At 44.5% G+C, this 23,827-nt stretch overlaps 1 protein-coding gene across 10 annotated transcripts in view, besides 6 other annotated features; it reads left to right on the top strand.

The window, feature by feature from the left end:
• SASH1 (SAM and SH3 domain containing 1) overlaps positions 1 to 23,827 on the top strand; it is a 358,577-nt gene that overhangs the window by 133,910 nt on the left and 200,840 nt on the right. For 4 of the 10 annotated variants that reach the window (NM_001346506.2, XM_017010598.3, NM_015278.5 and 1 more), the window contains exon 1: positions 15,461 to 15,846. The exons of 5 other annotated variants lie outside the window; for them this stretch is intronic. Coding sequence is in view for 2 of the 5 variants with exons in the window: in XM_017010598.3 (XP_016866087.1) it covers positions 15,691 to 15,846 (156 nt within the window). In the remaining 3 variants the exon portion in view is untranslated. Of the gene's footprint in view, positions 1 to 14,903; positions 14,936 to 15,460; positions 15,847 to 23,827 lie in introns of those variants that run through there. One more of the 10 variants, XM_047418500.1, reaches the window with a different exon arrangement.
• Positions 4,169 to 5,160: an enhancer, noted in NCBI's record as "H3K27ac hESC enhancer chr6:148652682-148653673 (GRCh37/hg19 assembly coordinates)". NCBI's record gives its function as "activates a minimal SCP1, AML or CMV promoter by ChIP-STARR-seq in primed H9 embryonic stem cells {active_cell/tissue: H9 hESC(primed)}" and the evidence as "EXISTENCE:reporter gene assay evidence [ECO:0000049][PMID:30033119]".
• Positions 7,143 to 8,132: an enhancer, noted in NCBI's record as "H3K27ac-H3K4me1 hESC enhancer chr6:148655656-148656645 (GRCh37/hg19 assembly coordinates)". NCBI's record gives its function as "activates a minimal SCP1, AML or CMV promoter by ChIP-STARR-seq in naive and primed H9 embryonic stem cells {active_cell/tissue: H9 hESC(naive and primed)}" and the evidence as "EXISTENCE:reporter gene assay evidence [ECO:0000049][PMID:30033119]".
• Positions 14,108 to 14,687: an enhancer, noted in NCBI's record as "H3K27ac hESC enhancer chr6:148662621-148663200 (GRCh37/hg19 assembly coordinates)". NCBI's record gives its function as "activates a minimal SCP1, AML or CMV promoter by ChIP-STARR-seq in primed H9 embryonic stem cells {active_cell/tissue: H9 hESC(primed)}" and the evidence as "EXISTENCE:reporter gene assay evidence [ECO:0000049][PMID:30033119]".
• Positions 19,536 to 20,044: an enhancer, noted in NCBI's record as "NANOG-H3K27ac hESC enhancer chr6:148668049-148668557 (GRCh37/hg19 assembly coordinates)". NCBI's record gives its function as "activates a minimal SCP1, AML or CMV promoter by ChIP-STARR-seq in primed H9 embryonic stem cells {active_cell/tissue: H9 hESC(primed)}" and the evidence as "EXISTENCE:reporter gene assay evidence [ECO:0000049][PMID:30033119]".
• Positions 20,336 to 20,630: a silencer, noted in NCBI's record as "tiled region #8239; HepG2 Repressive non-DNase unmatched - State 23:Low, and K562 Repressive non-DNase unmatched - State 22:ReprW". NCBI's record gives its function as "represses a minimal TATA promoter and a strong SV40 promoter by Sharpr-MPRA in HepG2 and K562 cells {active_cell/tissue: HepG2 | K562}" and the evidence as "EXISTENCE:reporter gene assay evidence [ECO:0000049][PMID:27701403]".
• Positions 21,063 to 21,572: an enhancer, noted in NCBI's record as "H3K27ac-H3K4me1 hESC enhancer chr6:148669576-148670085 (GRCh37/hg19 assembly coordinates)". NCBI's record gives its function as "activates a minimal SCP1, AML or CMV promoter by ChIP-STARR-seq in naive H9 embryonic stem cells {active_cell/tissue: H9 hESC(naive)}" and the evidence as "EXISTENCE:reporter gene assay evidence [ECO:0000049][PMID:30033119]".

The raw sequence follows: 23,827 nt of genomic DNA on the forward strand, positions 1-23,827 counted from the left end.
AGGTTCAAGGAATTCTCCTGCCTCAGCCTCCCAAGTAGCTGGGACCATAGGCGCCTGCCACCACGCCCGGCTAATTTTTTTATTTTTAGTAGAGACGGGGTTTCACCATCTTAGCCAGGCTGGTCTCGAACTCCTGACCTTGTGATCCACCCGCCTTGGCCTCCCAAAGTTCTGGGATTACAGGCGTGAGCCACTGCGCCCGGCCAGAAATTTCTATAATGTACACTGGTAGAAGAAAGATTAGTCAAAATTATGGAATATGTTTAAAGCACACAAAAAGTGGCCAGGTGCAGTGGCTCACGCCTGTAATCCCAACACTTTGGGAGGCTGAGGTGGGCAGATCACCTGAGGTCAGGAGTTCGAGACCAGCCTGGCCAACATGGCAAAACCCCGTCTCTACTAAAAATACAAAAATTAGCTGGAGGTGGTGGCACATGCCTATAATCCCAGCTACTCTGGAGGCTGAAACAGGAGAATCACTTGAACCCAGGAGGTGGAGTTTGCAGTGAGCCAAGGTCGCACCACTGCACTCCAGCCTGGGTGACAGAGCAAGACTCTGTCTAAAAAAAAAAAAAAAAAGAAAAAGAAAAAGAAAAAAGAACACAAAAAGTAAACTGAGTGGCAAATTAGAGAATTATACGTGAAGTGTTTTATGGCAGTTTTTCGTTTAAGGGATGGGGTCTCACTTTGTTGCCTAGGCTGAAGTGCGGTGACTACTCACACATGCGATTAGAGCACACTGCAGCCTTGAACGGTTGGCCTCGAGTGATTCTCCAGCCTTAACCTCCCAAGTAGTTGGGACTACAGGCGTGCTGTGCCTGGCTATTTTATGGTACTTTTAAACAGCTTTTAAAAATTACTTTCTTATGTAGGTTAAAGACCTTCTCAGTTCTCTTCAAGTTATATCCTAGTAATTTAATTATTAGTTAAAAATAGTGAGGCCGGGCGCGGTGGCTCACGCCTGTAATCCCAGCACTTTGGCAGAGGCAGGCAGATCACAAGGTCAGGAGTTCGAGACCGGCCTGGCTAACATGGTGAAACCCCATCTCTACTAAAAATACAAAAATTAGCCAGGCGCAGTGGTGGGCACCTGTAATCCCAGATACTCAGGAGGCTGAGGCAGGAGAATTGCTTGAACCCGGGAGGTGGAGTTTGCAGTGAGTCAAGATCTTGCCACTGCACTCCAGCCTGGGTGACAGAGCAAGACTCCATCTCAAAAAAAAAAAAAATAGTGGCAAGACCTGTGATTACTTTTGCACCTAGTAAGCTTGCTCCTGCTCCCATTTCTCAGCACAGAAGTAAAACTTACCCAGCCTGGGATAAACCACCATAAATTGTGATTAGTTGGTCTAAATTAAAGTAGATTTATTTTTTGATTTACCAGTGAATGATTGATTTGTCCCCTTGCTGTCATTTATCTTTACATTATTACAGAAGAAAATATTTCATACAAGCATTTTACTATTTTTGTTGGTTTTGATCACTAAAAAGTAGCTCTTTTTTGGAGAATCTTTATCTGTGCTGCTGCTGAAGAATTCTTTAGCACATGAGGATCTGTATTTTTCATCTTCTTCCTTTCATGTGTGTTCCATTCAGATCAGGAAATTGACATTTCAGCTTAGAAGACTTAGGCCAGATGTTAGTTCACTGGCTGAAAGATGGATTTCCTGCCCCAATAGGTGACCTCTGAAAGCAAAATAGGCTTTTTCTTAATGGATAGACTGTCCAAATGACCTCATTTCTAGAACAAGGCTTCTTTGTTAAGTGTCTCTTTGCTATTGGAATCAACATCATCTGATTTTTGAGAACATTCATTAGATAGCTAGCACCTAGTTGTTTCATTTATAAGGCATAGGAAAAAAATTATGCCTAGACAATCCCTTTAAAAAAGAATTGTGTTCATTGAGAGGGAAATGGTGCAGAAAATCTGGTGCCTGCTCACCCATATTAATATGTCTTTTAGATTTCAAACCTCATTCAGGCCAGCACTAGCCATAGGAGCAGAGCATGCTATGTACTTCCCTTAACAGGGAATTGTTTCACTAAGCTAGACCAAGGCACTATTTAAAGAAATAACCATGACCCCAATGTCCTGTCACTTGAAGCTTCTCTCTCCATATGTGAGAAACTCATTGAAGACATTGCCACAGTGCCACCTCTTTTGATGATTTCTTCATAGAGTTCATTTATTTATATCTTCAATTGTATAAGACAGCTCAGAAGAACTGAGATAACTAAGCCTTTGTGTGTGTGAGTGTGTATGTGTGTGTGTCTGTGCATCCGTGTGTGTCACAAAAAATGCAATTAGAAGGAAAGTACTCTAGAGAGGAACATGGCCTTCAACAACAGGGGCGAGTCCCTATGACTTACTATATTTGGTAAGGAGAAGAGTTAGATGGCGTGAGAAGAAAGATATATGTTTCTGAGATTCTGAAACAATGGAATTTTACAGCTGAGGGAAAAGTTGAGTTTTCTTTCTTTTTTTTTCAGGAACAGGAATGGGAGTGTCTCTTTGTAAGGGCTGGCAGATGAATTTTACTAGTATAAAAATCATGCTACTCTAATACAAAAATGTTGGCATTTCCATGAAAGACAGAGAACAGACACAAACAGGGTTAACCTCAGGGCTCCACCATGCATCTGGCACTCATGGGTCTTCCTCAAGTAATTATCTGGTAGATCTGTGACTTAAAAAATGAGTAGTAAAAAAGGATATCGAACTTTGCTTTATAATGACTCAACACATACTTTTCCCAGAATGTTATATTCAGCTCACTGCCTTTTTTAAAAATACTCATGCAAATGTCATTAATCATACGTGTGGTGTTGTTGTTCACCCAAAGTATTGTGCAAGCATACATCAACTCTGGATAAGACTGTAATGATCCTCTGTTTCCTGGGATTAATTACGTGAGTGAGAATCTTTTGTTCTATGCACATAACACGATGGCACCTCAAAGAAGCAGAGCAAGAGTTTTAACTGGAGCTTTAAAATTTATTGGAAAAAAATATTTTCCATAACCATGTTTAAGAGCAAGAGAGACAGCCAAGTGGACATTCTCATAGGGTAAAGTTTATTAGAAGACAAGATTGATAAATCAATTTGGTTGATGGATACTTCCCAGCTGCACTTTTAAGTCTTTTCTTACATAACTTGGAAACAGTTAACAATCTCTGGTCTCTTATTAACACATTCCTTTTTATTTTTACTTTTTTATTTTTTCTGAGATGGAGTTTCCCTCTTGTCGCCCAGGCTGGAGTGCAATGGCACGATCTCTGCTCACTGCAACCTCCACTTCCCCAGTTCAAGCGATTCTCCTGCCTCACCCTCCCAAGTAGCTAGGATTAGAGGCGCCTGCCACCACGACCGGCTAATTTTTTTATTTTTAGCAGAGATGGGGTTTCGCCATGTTGGCCAGGCTGGTCTCGAACTCCTGACCTCAGGTGATCTGCCAGCCTCGGCCTCCCAAAGTGCTGGGATTACAGGTGTGAGCTACCGTGCCTGGCCCCTTTTTTATTTTTTGTATCTCCTAAGCAAAAAAGAGAAATAGCAGGAAGTGTGATTCTAAAGATCATTTCCCTCAGTGTTTCCTTTTTTTCTTCTCCTAAGTGTCGGGTGGCTTTCATATAATCTTACGGTTCTCTGTAGGAGAGGCTGTTCTCATCTTAATTCAGAAGTAACTCAATGGTGAGTTGAAGTCTCTTGGTTCCTGCCTTAAACAGTATGGGATGCAATTCACATAGCCCACTTTTTTGATCCTCATGGGCATCTGTATAGATCTTGCCAGAAATTTGCTTCTTGTCTATAATGTGTTACCAAATTTTTCCGAATCTTCATAGTTCAGAATTACAAGTGGCTTTAGAAATCTAGTCTGAACCCGCTGTGTATAATAAAATAAATACCTGTTGTGATATTATTGATGGAATAATTCCCAGGCAGAACTTGTGTTTTTGTTTGTTTGTTTGTTTGAGACTGGAGTCTCACTCTGTCACCCAGGCTGGGGTGCAATGGCACGGTCTTGGCTCACTGCAACCTCTGCCTCCCGGGTTCAAGTGATTCTCCTGCCTCAGCCTCCCAAGTGGCTGGGATTACAGGTTCCTGCTACCATGCCCCGCTAAGTTTTTGTATTTTCAGTAGAGACAGGGTTTCATCATGTTGGCCAGGCTGGTCTCTAACTCCTGACCTCGTGATCCGCCCACCTCAGCCTCCCAAAGTGCTAGGATTACAGGTGTCAGCCACCGCACCCAGCCAGAACTTGGTCTTTACACAGCATCAACACAGATGAAAACCTAACTGGCTATTGCCTATCAGAGTAGAATAAAACATTTCAGAGAAAAATTTTCTGCTTTGTGACCCAACTTGAACTGCAGTGGTACAATCATGGCTCATTGCAGCCTTGACCTCTCAGGCTCAGGTGATCCTCCCACCTCAGCCTCCCCAGTAGCTAGGACTACAGGGACATGCTATAGTGCCTGGTTAATTTTTTGTAGAGACGGGACCTCACTTTGTTGCCCAGGCTGGTCTGGAACTCCCAGGCTCAAGTGATCCTTCTGCCTCAGCCTCCCAAAGTGCTGGGATTACAGGTGTGTTCCCCCCTGCCCTACCCAGCCCAGAGAAAAGGATTTACATCCCTGCAGCCTCACTTTGTTTATTTCCCTTCTCTCCCTAGCCTGTTCTGCTGTCTGCACTTTGTTTTAATTTCTCTTTAGTTTGCTCTTAGCTCTTCTCCCACTTCTTTCACCAAACACTCCCTGATGAAGGGCTTTTTAACAGGTAATGCTTTAGCATGGGTTTGGCTCACCTGTAAGGCATTTGTGGGGGAAAAAAAAAATGGTGTGGATTTGTGATGGGGAAAATGTTTTAACCTATCAGTCTTTCCTTGAAGTCAGTTCCCCCAAGGCATTGTGGAATGCCCCATGTAGGAGTGCCAGAAAGGATTGCTGACTGTAGGCAAAAATTAAATGAGCTTATATACTTTCATTGCTCAATTTCAGCAGCAGGAACTATGGTAAAAAATAAATTGGACTATTTATAATCTTTCAGATTTAATCTCTGCTATAAGCAGAAAATGTGTTGTTGTCGTCTGTAACAAATAACAAGTATTTAAATGAATCTGTGTTCCTAAAACATATGCTATTCTAAGGGAGAATGCATTTTAATTTCAATATTTAATCGTCTGCCCTTTAAAACCAAGTATCTCAAATCCAACAGAGCTTTAAAAAAAAAAAAGGATACAACCAAATATCTCCAAATACCTGATTTCTTCATTCACTTGTCTCATGGTAAGTTAGTTATTTTGCCAGTGAGTTTTTAAAAATAATCTACTGGCCGGGTGCGGTGGCTCATGCATGTAATTCCAGCGCTTTGGGAGGCTGAGGCGGGCGGATCACCGAGGTCAGGAGTTCGAGACCAGCCAGACCAACATGGTAAAACCCCATCTCTACTAAAAATACAAAAAATTAGCTGGGCTTGGTGGCGTGCACCTGTAATCCCAACTACTTAAGACACTGAGGCAGGAGAATCCCTTGAACCCGGGAGGTGGAGGTTGCAGTGAGCCGAGATTGTGGCACTGCACTCCAGGCTAGGCAACAGAGCGAGACTCCTTCTCAAAAAATACATGAAGAAATAAAAATAAAAACAATCTGCTGGTATAGATTTTTTAATACACTGTATTCTATTTTAAAACTTCACATTTCCTCAGCTCCTCTTCCTTACTCTGACATACCTATAGTCTGCAGGGGCTTTCAAATTTGAGCACTAGTCACTATCCTCTGGGGAACTTGTTAAAAAACAGATTGCTTGCTTTAGCCCAAGGAGTTCGAGACCAGCCTGGGCAACATAGGGAGACTCTGTGTCTACAAAAAATAATAATAATAATAATAAAATTAGCCAGGCATGGTGGTGCATGCCTGTAGTTCCAGCTACTTGGGAGCCTAAGGTGGGAGGATCCCTTGAGCCCAGGTGTTCAAGCCACTGCACTCCAGACTGGGTGACAGAGGGAGACCCTTTCTGAAACAAACAAAAAATCAAAAAACAAATTGGTGGTACCACTCCCAGAGTGACTCAGTAGAAGGCTTGAGGTGGGGCCGGGAAATTTGCATTTGTAACAAATTCCTTGGTGATGCTAATGATTGAGTTGTGGGCATGTACTTTGAGAAGCACTGCTCTAGATAAAATATCGTTGTCGCTGTTGTTGTTGTTGAGATGGAGTCTTACTCTGTCGCCCAGGCTGGAGTGCAATGGCGCGATCTCGGCTCACCACAACCTCTGCCTGCCGGGTTTAAGCGATTCTCCTGCCTCAGCCTCCTGAGTAGCTGGGATTACAGGCATGCGCCACCACACCTGACTAATTTTGTATTTTTAGTAGAGATGGGGTTTCTCCATGTTGGTCAGGCTGGTCTCAAATTCCCGACCTCAGGTGATCTGCCACTGCGCCCAGCTAGATAAAATATCCTTCTTTTTTAGACACAGTCACGCTGTGTCGCCCAGGCTGGACTGCAGTGGCGTGATCTCAGCTCACTGCAAGCTCTGCCTCTTGGGTTCAAGCAATTCTCCTGCCTCAACCTCTCAAGTAGCTGGGACTATAGGAGCCCACCACCACGACTGGCTAATTTTTTGTATTTTTAGTAGAGACGGGGGTTCACCGTGTTAGCCAGGATGGTCTCGATCTGCTGACCTCGTGATCCGCCTGCCTCGGCCTCCCAAAGTGCTGGGATTACAGGTGTGAGCCATCTGCAATAAAATATTTTAAGAGATAATAGCAGGCCGGGCGCGGCTGGCTCACGCTTGTAATCCCAGCACTTTGGGAGGCCGAGGCGGGTGGATCACGAGGTCAGGAGATCGAGACCATCCTGGCTAACACGGTGAAACCCTGTCTCTACTAAAAATACAAAAAAAAAATTAGCCGGGCGTGATGGCGGGCGCCTGTAGTCCCAGCTACTCGGGAGGCTGAGGCAGGAGAATGGCGTGAACCCGGGAGGCGGAGCTTGCAGTGAGCCGAGATTGCGCCACTGCACTCCCGCCTGGGCCACAGAGCGAGACTCCGTCTCAAAAAAAAAAAAAAAAAAAAAGAGATAATAGCAGTGTGGTCTCCAGTGATGGTAATGGAGGTGAAGGGAAGTGGATGACTTTGGCCTAATTTAAGAATTCGAGGCCGGGTGCAGTGGCTCACACCTGTAATCGCAGCACTTTGGGAGGCCGAGGCAGGCGGATCACCTGAGGTCAGGACTTCGAGACCAGCCTGGCCAACATGGTGAAACCCCATCTCTACTAAAAATACAAAAATTAGCCAGGTGTGGTGGCACGCGCGTGTAATCCTAGCTACTGGGGAGGCTGAGGCAGGAGAATCACTTGAACCCAGGAAGCAGAGGTTGCAGTGAGCCGAGATCGCACCACTGCACTCCAGCCTGGGCAACAGAGCAACACTCCATCTCAGGGAAAAAAAAATTAGCCAGGTATGGTAGCGGGAACCTGTAATTCCAGCTACTCGGGAGGCTGAGGTAGGGAGAATCACTTGAACCCGGGAGGCAGAGTTGCAGTGAGCCGAGATCACACCACTGCACTCCAGCCTGGGCAACAGAGTGAGACTCCATCTCAAAAAAAAAAAAAAAAGAAAAGAAAAGAAAAAAAGAATTTGAGGCCGGGCGTGGTGGCTCACACTTGTAATCCCAGCACTATGGGAGGCCGAGGCAGGTGGATCACCTGAGGTCGGGAGTTTGAGACCAGCCTGGCCAACATGGTGAAACCCTGTCTGTACTAAAAATACAAACATTAGCCAGGTGTGGTGGCATGTGCCTGTAATCCTAGCTACTTGCGAGGCTGAGGCAGGAGAATCATTTGAACCCGGGAAGCAGAGGTTGCAGTGAGCTGAGATCGCACCACTGCACTCCAGCTTGGGCAACAGAGCCAGACTCTGTCTCAGGAAAAAAAAAAAAAAATTAGCCGGGCATGGTAGGGGTCACCTGTAATTCCTGCTACTCAGGAGGCTGAGGCAGGGGAATTGCTTGAACCCGGGAGGTGGAGGTTGCAGTGAGCCGAGATCGCGCCATTGCACTCCAGCCTGGGCAACAGCGTGAGACTCTGTCTCAAAAAAAAAAAAAAAAAAAAAGAATTCAAATCAGCAGGGCTTATCTGTGGTTTGGATCACAGAGATGGTGAGGGAAGGGAAGGATGAAGTTGGTAGTTTGAATAAATGAATGGATATATCCGAAAACTGAAGCAAGAAAGGAGCAGGGAGGGAGGGTTGGATCATGGTAGGAAATCATAAATTCCATTTGAGGAATGTGAAAGTTTCACTGAAATACATCTGAACCTCAGCTCAATGCCTGGCAGAGAGTAGGTTTTCCATAAATGATGACAGCGATGGTTACTGCTGCTGTTAATACCTTTACTATGAAAACTGAAGCATCCTAATCACCCCGCCCCACCCGAGGTAAACTCCCAGCTCCATTACTCAGCAACGGCATTCCAGAGCTAGAGTTGACTCCTCTTCATGATCACAGAGACGTAGGTATGAACAAGGAAATTTCCTATTTATAGATACAGCCTCATTGGATGAGTGGTAGGGGAAGGAAAAACAAAAAGAGGGTAAAAAGAGAAAGGTTATAATGATGAATTATAATTTATCAAGGTGCCTGTGTCATCACAGATAACCTCACAACTGTATCAAATAAGTGGAATTTTCCCATTTCACAGATAAGATAAACAACTGGCCCAATATAGGAACTTGAGTAAAAATGGAAAACCTAGCTTTGTCTTGACCTCATTACATTTGTGCTTTCTATTATGAAACTGCATCCTTTTTTTTTTTTTTTTTTTTTTTTTGAGACAGAGTCTCACCCAGGCTGGAGTGCAGTGGCAAGATCTCGGCTCACTGCGAGCTCTACCTACCTGGTTCAAGAGATTCTCCTGCCTCAGCCTCCCGAGTAGCTGGGATTACAGGTGCCTGCCTCCACGCCCATTAAATTTTTTTGTATTTTTAGTAGAAACGGGGTTTTACCATGTTGGCCAGGCTGGTCTCAAACTCCCGACCTCAGGTGATCCGCCCGCCTCAGCCTCCCAAAGTGCTGGGATTACAGGCGTGAGCCACCATGCCCGGCCCTGAAACTGTATCTTTACTGCTGCTAAAGAGGTAAATGGGGGCACAATAAACATTTTAATAGAGTTTATTTGAGCAAACAACATTTCATGGACTTGACAGCTCTAAACCAGAAGTGGTTCAGGAACTCCACCAAGGGAATCTATGGGGAGGCCTTTATAAGACAGAAACAGAGGTAAAGCAAAGCAAACATTTGATTGGATATAATTACACAATTGCCTTATTTGATTGATCTCCTATGAAAGTTCCTAATTATGAAAGTTTGTTGGCTACCTCTGATTGGTTGAGCTTAAGTTCTGTTTTTCTGTAATACAGGCATTTGTAAGAGTTAGCTCAAGTTAAGTTTTCCTTAGGTTTGCAAATCAAGAAAGGTTGAGTTCACTAAGTGGTTTTGTCTTCGCAGGGATTCTGCAGGCCTGATCTCTATTTTACCTTACTTTAACCCTGCCCAGCGGAAAACTAATTACATTTCGTATGTTGACATAATGACCTAAATAGGCTGTACCTATACTCTAAATACCCCACAACTTGTAGACTAATGGCTTTTAAACTTTTGTAATTCTGGCCCACAGTTAAGAACAAGTTTTTGTTTTGTTTTGTTTGGGACAGAGTCTCGCTCTGTTGCCAGGCTGCAGTGCAATGGTGCAATCTCGGCTCACTGCAACCTCCGCCTCTCGGGCTAAAGTGATCCTCCAGCCTCAGCCTCCCATAGCTGGGACCACAGGTGCCCACCACTACATCCAGCTAATTTTTTTTTTTTTTTTTTGAGATGGAGTCTCGTTCTGTCACCCAGGCTGCAGTGCAATGACGCAATCTCGGCTCACTGCAAGCTCCGCCTCCCAGGTTCATGCCATTCTCCTGCTTCAGCCTCCCAAATAGCTGGGACTACAGGCGCCCGCCACCACGCCTGGCAAATTTTTTTGTATTTTTAGTAGAGATGGGGTTTCACCACGTTAGCCAGGATGGTCTCGATCTCCTGACCTCGTGATCCGCCCACCTCGGCCTCCCAAAGTGGTGGGATTACAGGCGTGAGCCACCATGCCTGGCCCTTAATTTCTGTATTTTTTATAGAGACGAGGTTTCACCATGTTGGCCAGACTGGTCTTGAACTCCTGAGCTCAGGTGATCCGCCTGCCTGGGCCTCTCAAAGTGCCGGGATTACAGACGTGAGCCACTGTGCCTGGCCCTAAGAACAAGTTTTTACAAAGCAAGCCAGTGTAAACATTTATCTGTACATACGTGTGTATATGTATATATGTGTTGTACACTTATCTGTGCAACAATATGATGGAGACTAATTTCCAATAAATAACAGAGATTGCTAAATTATCAACATTCTTAATGAATGCATTATGGTGATAGTTTTCACTCATTTGTGACAACAAATGTTTATTATGAGCCACAGAATTGATTCTGTAATCAACTTTTGCATCTCTACTAGAAGTCTAGAAAAATCTTCTACGTCACTTTCCTTGGAATTCACTCACCCACAGAAGGACGATTTCAATGAGTTGGATGAGATTCCTGATGGTAAGAGAAAAAGGGGAGTAGGATTCCGGTATACCCATCTTCAATGGAATATCTACACTTCCCTGCCTTGAAGAACTTTGTGGGAATCAAATGGAGTATGATACAGATGAAAAGACTTTTAAAATAATCAGTTTGGGTCTGGTGCAGTGGCTCACGCCTGTAATCCCACCACTTTGGGAGGCCAAGGTGGGCGGATCACTCGAACTCGGTCAGGAGTTCGAGACCAGCCTGGCCAACATGGTGAAATCCCGTCTCTACTAAAAATACAAAAATTAGCCTGGCATGGTGGCACGTGCCTGTAATCCTAGCTACTGGGGAGACTGAGGCACAAGAATCACTTGAACCCAGGAGACAGAGGTTACAGTGAGCCAAGATCACGCCACTGCACTACATCCTGGGCAACAGAGTGAGACTCCATCTCAAAAAAAAAAAAAAAGATGATAATATAAATCAGTTTGTTCTTACTTTGATTCTGCCCCATGTAGCTGTGTTCACTTGGACTTATCATTCAAGTTCTCTGGAGCCTACTTCCTCATCTGTAAAATGAAGGATTTGACCTAGATCTTTTTCGAGGCCCTTTTCCATTTCCATGAGGTAGAATTCTAATATAAAACGTTCTTGGTAAATGATATCCTATATGACTCTGAAGTTGTGATGATGATGATGATGGTGATTTCTTTATAAGGAAAGGACAACTTTGTTAAAAAGCCCCTGAAGGGCCAGGAGCCTTGGCTCATCTCTGTAATCCCAGCACTTTGGGAGGCCGAGGCAGGTGGATCACCTGAGGTCAGGAGTTTGAGGCCAGCCTGGCCAACATGGTGAAACCCCATTTCTACTAAAAATCCAAAAATTAGCCGGGCGTGGTGGCAGGCTCCTGTAGTCCCAGCTACTTGGGAGGATGAGGCAGGAGAATTGCTTGAACCCAGGAGGGGGAGATTGCAGTGAGCCGAAATCGGGCCACTGCACTCCAGCCTGGGCAATGAGCGAGACTCTGTCTTTAAAAAAAAAAAAAAAAAAAAGAGAGAGAGAGATAAAAAGCCCCTGAAGGAAATTTTAGAAGAAAGGAGTGACAAGTGACATTAACTAAGAGAGAAAAGAGTCGTCAATCTTGGGAGTGGTAATCAGATCATGTTGAGTTAACACATGGAAATTGATAAGTAGAAAGTAGCTGGGACTACAGGCCACATGCTGCCATGCCCAGCTAATTTTTGTATTTCTAGTAGAGACGAGGTTTCACCATGTTGGCCAGGATGGTCTCAAACTGCTGACCTCAGATGATCCTTCTGCCTCGGCCTCCCAAAGTGCTGGGATTACAGGAATGAGTAACCATGCCTGGCCTCAAATTTCACATTCTATGTATAGGCATCAACATTTCTCCCAAAACATTATCTCATTTCCCTATCCATTGATTAAGAAGCACCAGGAAAAACAGCTTAAATATCTAGAATAGGTTGATTTCTATAAGTGCCAAAATGCTGGCTAAGGTTTAATTATATGTGTGTGTATATATATAGATATATAATTATAAATATAGATATCTATATAAATATCTATATAGATGTATTTTTTGAGATGGAGTCTCGCTCTGTCGTCCAGGCTGAGTGCAGTGGCTCACTGCAACCTCCACTTCCCAGGTTTAAGCGATTCTCCTGTCTCAGCCTCCCAAGTAGCTGGGACTACAGGTGTGTGCCACCATGCCTGGCTAAGTTTTATATTTTTAGTAGAGATGGGGTTTTGTCATGTTGGCCAGGCTGGTCTCGAACTCCTGGCCTCAAGTGATGTGCCTGCCTCAGTCTCCCAAAGTGCTGAGATTACAGGCATGAGCCACCATGCCCGGCCCGTTTAATTACACTGATGCGGGTATGTGTTGTCACTAAACTGTACGTGTCTTTAGATGACCCTGAAACATACTATAACCTGTGAAGAAGCAGGTGGCCATTAGTATGGCCTTGCCTCATCTTGGATGGGGAAACTAGCACCAGGTCAAATGCTTTGCCCCAGGTCATCTGATGAGTCAAGAAGAAAATGATTCTGGATTGGTGCTGGAGAGTCAGGCTTCATCCTAACCCCAGCCCCAACTGCCCGGCTTGCCTGGCTCCTTGCTGAGTTATTTGCTGGAAAGTGTTTATGTAGAGAACAGGCTGCCCCTTGGAAGCAGCACAGTCCTCTGCATCTTCTTAAATTTAAGAAAGTACCAGGCCAGGCACGGTGGCTCATGCCTGTAATCCCAGCACTTTGGGAGGCTGAGGCGGGTGGATCATGAGGTCAGGAGTTCGAGACCAGCCTGACCAATATGGTGAAACCCCGTCTCTACTAAAAATACAAAAATTAGCCAGGCGTGGTGGTGCATGCCTGTAATCCCAGCTACTCAGGAGGCTGATGCAGGAGAATCGCTTGAACCTGGGAGGCAGAGGTTGCAGTGAACCAAGATGGTGCCACTGCACTCCAGCCTGGGCGACAGGGTGACAGAGCAAGACTCTGTCTCAAAAAAAAAAAAAAAAGTATCACGTGGTGAATAAATTCAAATTCTTAAATATACCAATACAGTCAACTGTAAAGGCTATTTATCTTTTCCTATCATTTACTTATATTTATCTATTTATAGAAATGACAATTAAAAAAACCTCATCAGCCTTAACTGAATTTATTTTTATTCAAAGTATCACAGAGCACGAGGGAGCCTTGAAAACCCATCTGGCCTAACTCCGGCATCAGCCTAGGAAAGCACAAGACCTGGCTGTACTGACTCATAGTTCAGTGCTCTTTCTACTTCAACACAATGCCTCAATGCTATTAAGGAGAAATTTAATAATTCTTTTGGTTTCCTTTCACAAACATTATCGTCAGAGACTGTGCGCAGTGGCTCATGCCTATAATCCCAGCACTTGAGGAGACCAAGGAGGGAGGATCCCTTGAGTCCAGGAGTTTGAGACCACCTTGGGCAACAGCAAGAGATCATGTCTCTATAAAAAATTTAAAAAATTAGTCTGGTGCAGCGGTGTGCCTGTAGTCCCTGCTACTCAGGTGGTTGAGGCAGGAGGATTGCTTGAGCCCAGGAGTTCAAGGCCGCAGTGAGCTACGATTGCAGCACTGCACTGCCGGGGTGAGAGAGCAGGACCTTGTCTCTAAAAAAATTTTTCAGCATACTTTTTTTTTCTTTGGAGACAGAGAGTCTTCCTCTGTCACCCAGGCTGGAGTGCAGCAGCAGGACCTCACTGTAACCTTCGCCTCCTGGGTTCAAGCTATTCTCCTGCCTCAGCCTCCTGAGTAGCTGGGATTACAGGCATGTTCCAACACTCTTGCTATGTTTTGTTTTTTTTTTTTGTTTTTTTTTTTTTTGTATTTTTAGTAGAGACAGGGTTTTGCTGTGTTGACCAGGCTGTTCTCAAAATCCTGGCCTCAAGTGATTCGCCCGCCTCAGCCTCCCAAAGTGCTGGGATTACAGGCGCCAGCCCCGCACCCGCCAAAAACACACAAAAATTATCAGGGATTGTGTTTATAAATTTAGTTACTTTTGAAAATGTTTTTACATTTTGAACTTTCCTGTAAGGACTATTCACCCATTGCATTGATTGGTGCTCACAGCACTTAATACTTGAACAAGGGGAATTCAAGGACATGCTCTTATCCCCTTTCAAGTGGACTCAGAAGGAAAACAAAACAAAACAAAACAAAACAAACAAACAAACAAAAAAAACCCCACAATCAACAAGAAACAGGAGAGGCCTCAAAACAAGCAGGGCTCTCTCCCTGGGGCATCTCACTTTTTTTTTTCCTTTTAAACCACAAGGCCCTAACAGAGGAGCAAACTCCATGTGGTTTCTTAACTGTTTCAAAAGTGATCAATCACCAAATCGAATGTGACGTGCATTGTCACCTTCCAAGGAAAACTCTGAGTAGTCTTGAAAGATAGAATCACAAAAGGGAAAAATCACCTCTCCAGGGCTAGTTCCCTTATAAAATAAATCTGTCCTGGGGCTTCCCCTTGGAAAAACACACACAGGGCCCCAAGTGTGTGTAGGCTGACTGGCTACACAATCATTTGAATTTAGTTTCGAAAATAGCCCTTCCCTGTGTCCCTAATGTAAAGGAATAATTAAAACCCAAAGCGCATTTCCCTTAATTAGCCGAAAGCCCTAGCAATGCATGGCATTGTGGGCATTCAGGAGCCAAAATGCCCCCACTCATAAAAAATGATCCAAACAATGGCTCGTGCCCAAGCTTTCACACTTGTTTTGCAGAGAAGTCTTGGCTGGCAGAGGCAGGATTTGTAATTCCTTGGGTCGCTTGACTTCACGAGGGGCGAGGTATGCATTGTAGCGACACGGACTACTTGTGAAGCCTTTGGGCGGGAGTCGCTTAAAGATTAACTTTCTCGGGTTTCCGTTACCAAAAGCGTTTCCGTGAATAGCGTGATTGGAAACTTGTGCGGGCCGGAGACCGCGGCGCGGCTGCTCTTTCAACAGGCGATTTGTTCTCCTGTCCGAGGCTCATTTCCATGCAAAGAGCCTGACATCAGAGCACCTTTTGTTGCTAAACGCTTTCTTTAGCCTCGAGGGAGAGAGTCATGTGGAGCTGGAAGAGCTCATTTTGAAGAGAGGGGTCCCGGGGAGCTCCCTCCAAGATCTAGAGGCTCCGCGGCCACCCCTGCCGGGTCCTGCCAAGACTTGCTAGAAGGAACGAGTCGCGTGCCTTAGTTAGTTGGTTCCCGTCACAGGAAGAAACGCCTTTGCAGTGGGTTTAATTGCTTCTGGGCCGAGCGAATTCCCCGCCGTACAACTCAGTGGTGCGGACTTTGCCTCCTGCTACCCTGTTGCTGCGCCGAGCGGGGTGGGAAAGTTTCTGGAGTTGTCAGTCGCGCAGCCCGTGGCCACCTAGACCCGAGGTGCGGGCGCCTGCGAAGGGCCCCCGCGGGGTGGCCGGGGCCGCCGGGGCATGCAGCGCGGGGGCGCGGCTCGGTGACGCCGCGGGCGGGGACCCGGCATCCGGGCAGGCTGCGCGCGGGTGCGGGGCGAGGGCGCCGCGGGGACTGGGACGCACGGCCCGCGCGCGGGACACGGCCATGGAGGACGCGGGAGCAGCTGGCCCGGGGCCGGAGCCTGAGCCCGAGCCCGAGCCGGAGCCCGAGCCCGCGCCGGAGCCGGAACCGGAGCCCAAGCCGGGTGCTGGCACATCCGAGGCGTTCTCCCGACTCTGGACCGACGTGATGGGTATCCTGGTAAGTTACCTGGGGAGGGGGCGGCGCAGGAAGTACAGTTCGCAGCAGCCCCTCTGAAACCGGGGGCTCCCTTCTCGCCCACCCACTGGGCAACCCACTCCGCAGAGGCGTCCTTCTCTGGCTCTAGTTCTTAGGGGGCTAAATACACACAGTATAGGATTTCAAACCCTAATTAAAAAATAACCAGCCACAGGTCCCGTCAAAAGGTGTTTTTTAAACAATCGGGTATGATATTCAACAGTTTAATCTGGGACACCTGCTGACATGTTGGTGTGGAAAAGGCGAGAAAGAGGCCTTCAAAAAGTAGATGTAAATAAATATTTGGTTGGTGCTGGATTAGGGAAAAGGCTGATGTTACTGATGTTTATCTCTTCACCATTTGTTGTGTGACCACAAGAGGGAAAACAAACATTTCCTTACTCAGAACTGCCAAAATGTTTGCCTACTTTTTTTTGCAGTTTTTCAATTTGTGGAGTTACAGGATATTTGTTTTATATGTTTGGGGCTAAAACAATAGGACTTATTTTGCTAAATCTGTGCTGTCATGTATTTTGAAATGTCCAGTGACTAAAAGCGCCCCTGGATTTGGCATAGTCTCTGGGAAGCAGTTCTTCTGTATGGAGGGTGAAGTTTTAACCTGCTCAGGGTTGAATACCTTGGGGAAGTAATAGATTTGCTTTGGTGGAGCTGTAGTTAGGCAGGTAGACTGGAATCAGATGGGCGAGGTTTATTACAGTCAGACATCTTAATCCATACATAAAAGACAACTTTAGTTTAAAGACTTGGAATGGCCAGATGTGCAGATTATCAGAAAAGTCTCTAGATTTGCTTTGAGATCTTATATTTTTTGAGTGGGAGGAGATGGAGTGAAAGTTCTTCTTTGGGAATGATAAACCGTGTACAGTTTTTAGCACAGTGATTAAACTCTTGGGCTTCAAAGTAAGTTATACTAGGTCAAATGCCAGCTCTCCAATTGACTGTTTACATGATCTTGGCCAAGTCATTCAACCTCTCTGATCCTCAGTTTCATCACCTGAAAATTGAAGAAAAGAAGACTTGCTTCTTGGGGTTTCTGAGATTTAGCTGGGTTGATGTGTGTATCAAGTACTCAGCAGACTGTATAGCATATAGTAGAGGCTCAATAAGTGTAGCTGTCTTTCAGGTTTTATTTGTTTCCTGCAAAGTCTCCTGTCTCTTCCTTCTGGACATCCTAAAAGCCCAGTTACTCCATTTTCAGGTGACCATTGGTATTTATGATTCTTACTATACAGAGAACCAGCGAGCGTTGGTTAAAGATTTCTATCTGCTCTTGTCACTCTCCAGTATTGAAAAATGTATATAAATATGCATGCAATGTATATTTACATACTATATATAGCACATGTATATAATATACCTAAATCTAATATATATTTTAGATTTAAAAGGTTTTGTTTTTGCATTTTCTGAAGTATACAGATGAATATGATCCTTCACTGAAGTTCCAGAAAACCTAATGGACATTTTAAAGTTGTGATAAACTTTTTCTTTTCTTTTTTTTTTTTTTTTTTGAGACGAAGTCTTGCTCCGTCGCCCAGGCTGGGGTGCAGTGGCACGAGCTCAGCTCACTGCAACCTCCGCCTCCTGAGTTCAAGCAATTTTCCTGCCTCAGCCTCCTGAGTAGCTGGGATTACAGGCGCGCAACACCACACCCGGCTGATTTTTGTATTTTTAGTAGAGACGGGGTTTCACCATGTTAGCCAGGCTGGTCTCGAACTCCTGACCTTGTGATCTGCCCACCTCGGCCTCCCAAAGTGCTGGGATTACAGGCGTGAGCCACCGCGCCCGATAGACTGTTTTTAAGTTATCCTGTTATTTCTTGTCTAGATCCAGTTCTAAGTTTTCAGTCACTGAGGAAATTGGTTTGATAATATCCCATTGTATCCCTTACTCTAGGGCGTTGGGCTGGGGGCGGGGAGGATTGGGGGCCTGTTTAAATGAAACTTGGGCTGAGGGTTCTTTTGGGGAAGAGGGTTGGCCAGTGGCATTTTCTGCAGATTTGCTTTCCCTTCCCTGACAGATTCCAGCACTGTTGGGTCAGTTGTAGTGGAGTGTTCTTTGGCTGAGTTAAAAGATGGGGTGGGGCTTCAGAAGCTCAAACCTGCTATTGAAAGGGCAGATGCAGGAGCAAAGAAAATATGTACTTCAGCTAATCATTCAGGATCAGGCTGGGAAGAACGTAAAGCCTGTCCCAGACAGGTTGTGTTTGCTCATGTTTTCCTCTTGTTTATCTGGGGTAAACAGGCATGGAGATTGTTCCTTAGTAAAATTCAGAGGAAGACATGGCTTACTGCTCCTTTGTAGATGTCTTGCAGGGAGACACCAGGCTAAAAGGGAGGGAAAGCTGTCATCCAAGTGTTTATACAAACTGAGTCTTCGGGGAAATACATCAAGACACAAAATTAACAGTTGACTTTATTCTCACTGAAACAAGAGACACCATTTCCTTCCTTTTTTATTTAAAATATAAGATTTTGCAATCATCTATCAATCTAGACAGGTGAAGTGACTTGGCCAATGGCACATACCATGTTAGTGACAATGTTAGACTTGTCCCTGGTCGCTGGCCCCTCCAGTAGGGATCCTGATGTCATGACGCTCCATAGTTAACTCTCAGATGAATTCAGTAGAAATGTAGTTCAGTACATTTAGAAATCCTGTGTGTTTTAGGTAAAATGTGACTTACAAGATTCTTTTTCCGTACTGAACTTGAAGAGGACAGTAGAGGTAGTTGGGAAATTACACATCTGAACATTATCCTTAACAGATTTCAGACACAGTTCTACCTTACTTTTTCAGATTATTCTAATTGTGGAAATCAAACCACACAGCTTATCAATACTGTATGTGGAACTTTGAAATGACAAAACTCACAGCTTAGTAAGTGAAAACATTTTTAGGTGAATGAGCAATATTGAGCAGTTGTCCCCCAGGGGATTTTGTTGGTTATAACCCAGTGAAAGTATTGCCCCAGAGTCATGGATCTCAGTAAATACAGGATGGTTGTTTGAGTTCATTAGGACACATTTTGCATTTAGATTAATTCAGTCCATGCACAGTTAAGCACCAAATAGTTGCTTTCAGATAATTGTTAACAAAGTGCTCATTTAGAAAAGAAATAATAGTATAATTTACGGCATGAAAATGTTTGAGCAGTACTAGAATAAATAAATGCTAATAAGTGAATATATAAATGGATATAGAATTAAGAGAAAACAAGCTTGCAAAAAAAAAAAAAAATTAACTAGATTGTGAGTGCCTGGAGGGCAGGGTCAGTGTCTTACTCATTTTTCTATCTCCAGTGCTCCTGACTTAACTGGGTGCTGAGAACATGGCTTTGTTGAAAGAAAAAGGGGAAAAGTATGTATTTCTTAAATGCAGGAGTCACATCAAAGCATTGTTCTGTCAAGACACATGTGCCTGCTGTAATGTAATGGGTTACATTTATAAAGATGTGAATACATTCTGCTCTGGCTGAAACTGCATTTTGGGCAGTTTCATCGTGCAAATTAAAATCCCAGTGCTTCCACTGGAAACTAATGGTAAACTGCAACATGTTTATAAGCCCTGAGCTATTAAACCTTGGCGTTCTTGTGAAATGTGCCATTCTGTTCACTAACACCACGACATGTGGTAGGCCAGGGTTTTCAAAGCATGTCACTTCTCCCTGTGACATGTGTAGACTTCTATTGAGAAGTGCAAAACTGAGTTAGAATCCTGTGGAATTTTACCCTTTTTTCTTTACTCCATAGTTGGCAGACACGGCATTCCTTTTTTTAGGTAGGGGAGGGAAGTTGTTTTTAAGAGCGGGAATTGCTAAGGTTGTTGATACAGTTAGGTGTGGTAGATCCTTTTTTCAGAACTGATTTATCCATTTGGTAAATTGTGATGGTTCTTCAGCTTCTGCCTACAGGATTTGAGGACTTCTAAGGCAAAGCCTTAGAAGCCTTTAAATCTACTTGTTAACTGGGAAGGGGGTTAGTAAGTGCCTATTGTTTGCAGGATCCTGCAAGATGCACCTCCCCCAAACCTGAAATTTCCTCTGTTTTTGCTCTGTTTCTACAATTTACACCCATTTCCCAGCATGTTTAAAAAATATCCATTGTATAGAGATACTCCGAACCTTCCCCTACTCTAATTCCTGTGCAAGCTACAGAAAGGCAGGCATCAGTCCACAGAACTGCTATATTCATCCTATCTTACTATTTACTCCATTCCTAAAAAATTAACAAGAAAACCCCTAAAACAAACAAACAAAATGTCTCCCTCTTTTCCTTTGTTGTTTTAGGCCCAGTGTGGGGCGGGGAGATGTTAGTGAGATCCTGAGGGGGCTTTTAAAATGCTAACTCCTTTGAAAGCAGTTAATTTACATGTTCTCTTGGGAGGTGTCTAGAGTTGTGCCTATCAGCTAATGACTTAATTAATTTTACGTCTTGGAATTTGAGAGTCAAGCACATTTCAAATATTCTGACTTCACCTTAATTTTATGATGTTCCTTTTAGCCCACTGAAGAAAGCCTTGTGGCCTCTCTATGTGGAGAAGTTGCAGGGTTATGTACTGGAAGGGATTGAAGCGCCCTTGGAAATGCACCCTCAACTCTCATTTAGAGAGAAGGGTTTGGAGGGCTTCCAGGTGTAAAAGACTTACTCAGGGTAACAGAGAGGAGGCAGAACTCAGGCGTCTGGATGTTCACTTCTTTGGCAAAGACTAAGTCAATGGCTTTCATAATTTTATTTATTTATTTGTTTATTTATTTATTTTTGAGAAGGAGTCTCACTCTGTCTCCCAGGCTGGAGTGCAGTGGTGCAATCTCCGGTCACTGCAACCTCTGCCTCCCGAGTTCAAGCGATTCTCCTGCCTCAGCCTCCCAAGTAGCTGGGATTACAGGCGTCTGCCACCACACCTGGCTAATTTTTGTATTTTTAGTAGAGACAGGGTTTAGGCTGGTCTCAAATCCCTGGCCACAAGTGATCCACCCACCTCGGTCTCCCAAAGTGCTGGGATTACAGGCGTGAGCCACTGCGCCTGGCCGGCTTTGATAATTTTGGTTGGGGTTGCCGAATCTTTTCCTGCTAAAGGAGACCCCTTAAGCTTAAGTGACCTTCTTCCATGATTCCCTTCTCCTGCCTTTCTGCCTTTATTTGCTGTTCTCTACCTTGTCTTTCTTTTGCTCAGCCATACAACCCTTCCCTCTGCCACCTGGCTTCTTACTGAGGTCCTTTGCATGCAGCTCTATGGGGACGGAGTGAGAGGCAGTGCTCCTGTGTAGAGTCCTGGGGCTGTGCTGGATCTTGCGCATACATTTCCTTACTTGATCCTTGTAGGAGGTGTGGTCAGTGAGTATTCTTGCCCTCATTTTACAGTTCAGATGTAAACGTCTGTGTCCTAAGTCATGCAGATAGTAGATGGGGAAGCTGAGAGTTGGATCATGTATTTCCCTGAAACTGACTTCCATTTGCAACTGTGTATAGTTCATTCTTTCACACATCTTCTTCAGACGTTTATTGGCTGCTAATTTTTGTTTGTTTAAGCTATTGAGCTATTAGCGATACTTGCCCTTGAATTCTACAAAAGGTTAGTTTTGCTGCAAAAGCCTCAGCCCCACGGTCGCTGAGTATATACCCAACCTCACAGGGCAGTGGGCAGAGCGCCCCGAAGGCGGTAGGATCCCTTCACTCAGGATCAGCAACCCAGGAGCGTCTGGGCGGCCCCTACCAGACATACCTTTGGATTTGGGCCCTGAGGGATAAGTAGGAGTTCCCAGAGAGGTCTTTTCTAGTGAGAGGGATAAAAAGGAAGGTGCGAGGTGGGCCCTTCCCCACAGAGCAAAGAGGGACAAAGGTGGAAGGGCACAGATCTCCCAGATCTGGGTGCTGATGTTGCTGGATAAGGTTTGTGGGCACCGGTGAAAGAGGCCATTGGGCATGGGACTACTTGCGTCTGTGTTTTGGAAAAGTAACTTTTTTATTTCATTCTTTCTTCTTTCTTTCTTTTTTTTTTTTTTTTTTTTTTTTTTTTTGAGTGAGTCAAACTCTGTTGCCCAGGCTGGAGTTACAGTGGCGCGATCTCGGCTCACTGCAACCCTCAACCTTCCAGGTTCAAGCAATTCTCCTGCCTCAGCCTCCCAAGTGGCTGGGATTACAGGCATCTGCCACCATGCCCGGCTAATTTTTGTATTTTTAGTAGAAATGGGTTTTCACCATATTGTCCAGGCTGGTCTTGAACTCCTGACCTAAGGTGATCTGCCTGCCTCGGCCTTCCAAAGTGCTGGGATTACAGGCGTGAGCCACGACGCCCGCCCGGCCAGAAAAGTAACTTTTGTAGGCGATGGGGTGGCAATGAGGTTGGAGGGAAGGAGACTACTTTAGTGACCCAGGCAGGGATAGTGAGAGCCCCAACCAGATGTTTCTGTGTCGAGTCATTACCTGTCCTCTGGCTGCCTGAGGCCCAACACTTTGTACAGTCTCTAAAGTAATCAAGACTGCTCCATGGTAACTTTCTTTTGATAATTCTTTTATGCTCAAGAGTGGGCTGAGTTAATGCAAGACATTTTAGAGATGTCGTATGCCTTGTGATTTTCTTTTTTTCTTTTTTTTTTTTTGAGACGGAGTCTCGCTCTGTCGCCCAGGCTGGAGTACAGTGGTGTGATCTCGACTCGCTGCAAGCTCCTCCTCCCGGGTTCATGTCATTCTCCTGCCTCAGCCTCCTGCGCAGCTGGGACTACAGGCGCCTGCCACCACGCCCGGCTAATTTTTTGTATTTTTAGTAGAGATGGGGTTTCACCGTGTTAGCCAGGATGGTCTCGATCTCCTGACCTCGTGATCCACTCACCTCGGCCTCCCAAAGTGTTGGTATTACAGGTGTGAGCCACCGCGCCCGGCAGATTTTCTTTCTCTCTAAAGGAAAAGGCGGCCAGGCACAGCGCCTCACACCTGTAATCCCACTGCTTTGGGAGGCCAAGGCTGGAGGATCGCTTGAGGCCAGGAGTTAGACCAGCCTGGGTAACATAGCGAGATCTCATCTGTAATTCTTATTAAAGAAAAAAGAAAAAAGTATCTATCCATGTATATATGTACAAATATTTGTATACCTGTCTCTCTATACTGATAGAATGTGGTTCCTTAAAAGGGGGAATTATTATTTATAACAATATGCACACCACTGAAAGATCTTTAAATCATTCTTTTAAAAGCTAATTGTAGAGTACAGTGAAATAGTGGGAAATATGTAGTTCAATGCAAATTTATTCATTTGCAAATCCGTAGCTCAATTTTACAAAGGATGTAAGAGGAAAAACTATTGTTTATCTAATGTGTCCTTTTTAAGAGTGCTGTGGTGCTACCTGATTGTTTCGTGTCTAAGACTTGACTGTCATAATCCCACTGTAATAGACGATGTGCCTACCTGTGGTTGACACACATTCTTGGCATTAGTAAAAATGAAATTGGTCTCAAAAGAGTGAATCTAAATGGACAGAGACTGACTCTCACTATCAGTGATACCATTTAATACCTGTGAGTACAGACTGAGACTACAAGAATTAACTAAACCTTCAGACTAATTTTGAGATAAAATGTATTTTTTGAGTACATAAATTGTCATTTTTCAAATGATATGCTCATCTATTTATTAATTCACTTTTGTAAGAAGACCTGAAAATGGTAGGTCTCTTCCTCATTAGCTTTGCTCCTAGCCAGATGTTGAACGTCCCTTCTTTTGTTCTCTGAAGTGTTTCACTGGGCAGCATTAATTCTTTATGAGGAGAGATGCTTCACAGAGATAACCTATCTTGTATCTTTCCTGCCATGTCAAGTCATGTAATACAGACATCTCCATCCTGGAGACTGGGTATCCAGGCATTATGGTAACTCTGAGACTCAGAAGACAAACGCTTGAGAAAGGGCTAGTATTTCCTTTCTGCGATAGTAGTTTTTTTTTTTTT

This window comes from Homo sapiens, chromosome 6, assembly GCF_000001405.40.
Source record: "Homo sapiens chromosome 6, GRCh38.p14 Primary Assembly".
NCBI lineage: Eukaryota > Metazoa > Chordata > Mammalia > Primates > Hominidae > Homo > Homo sapiens.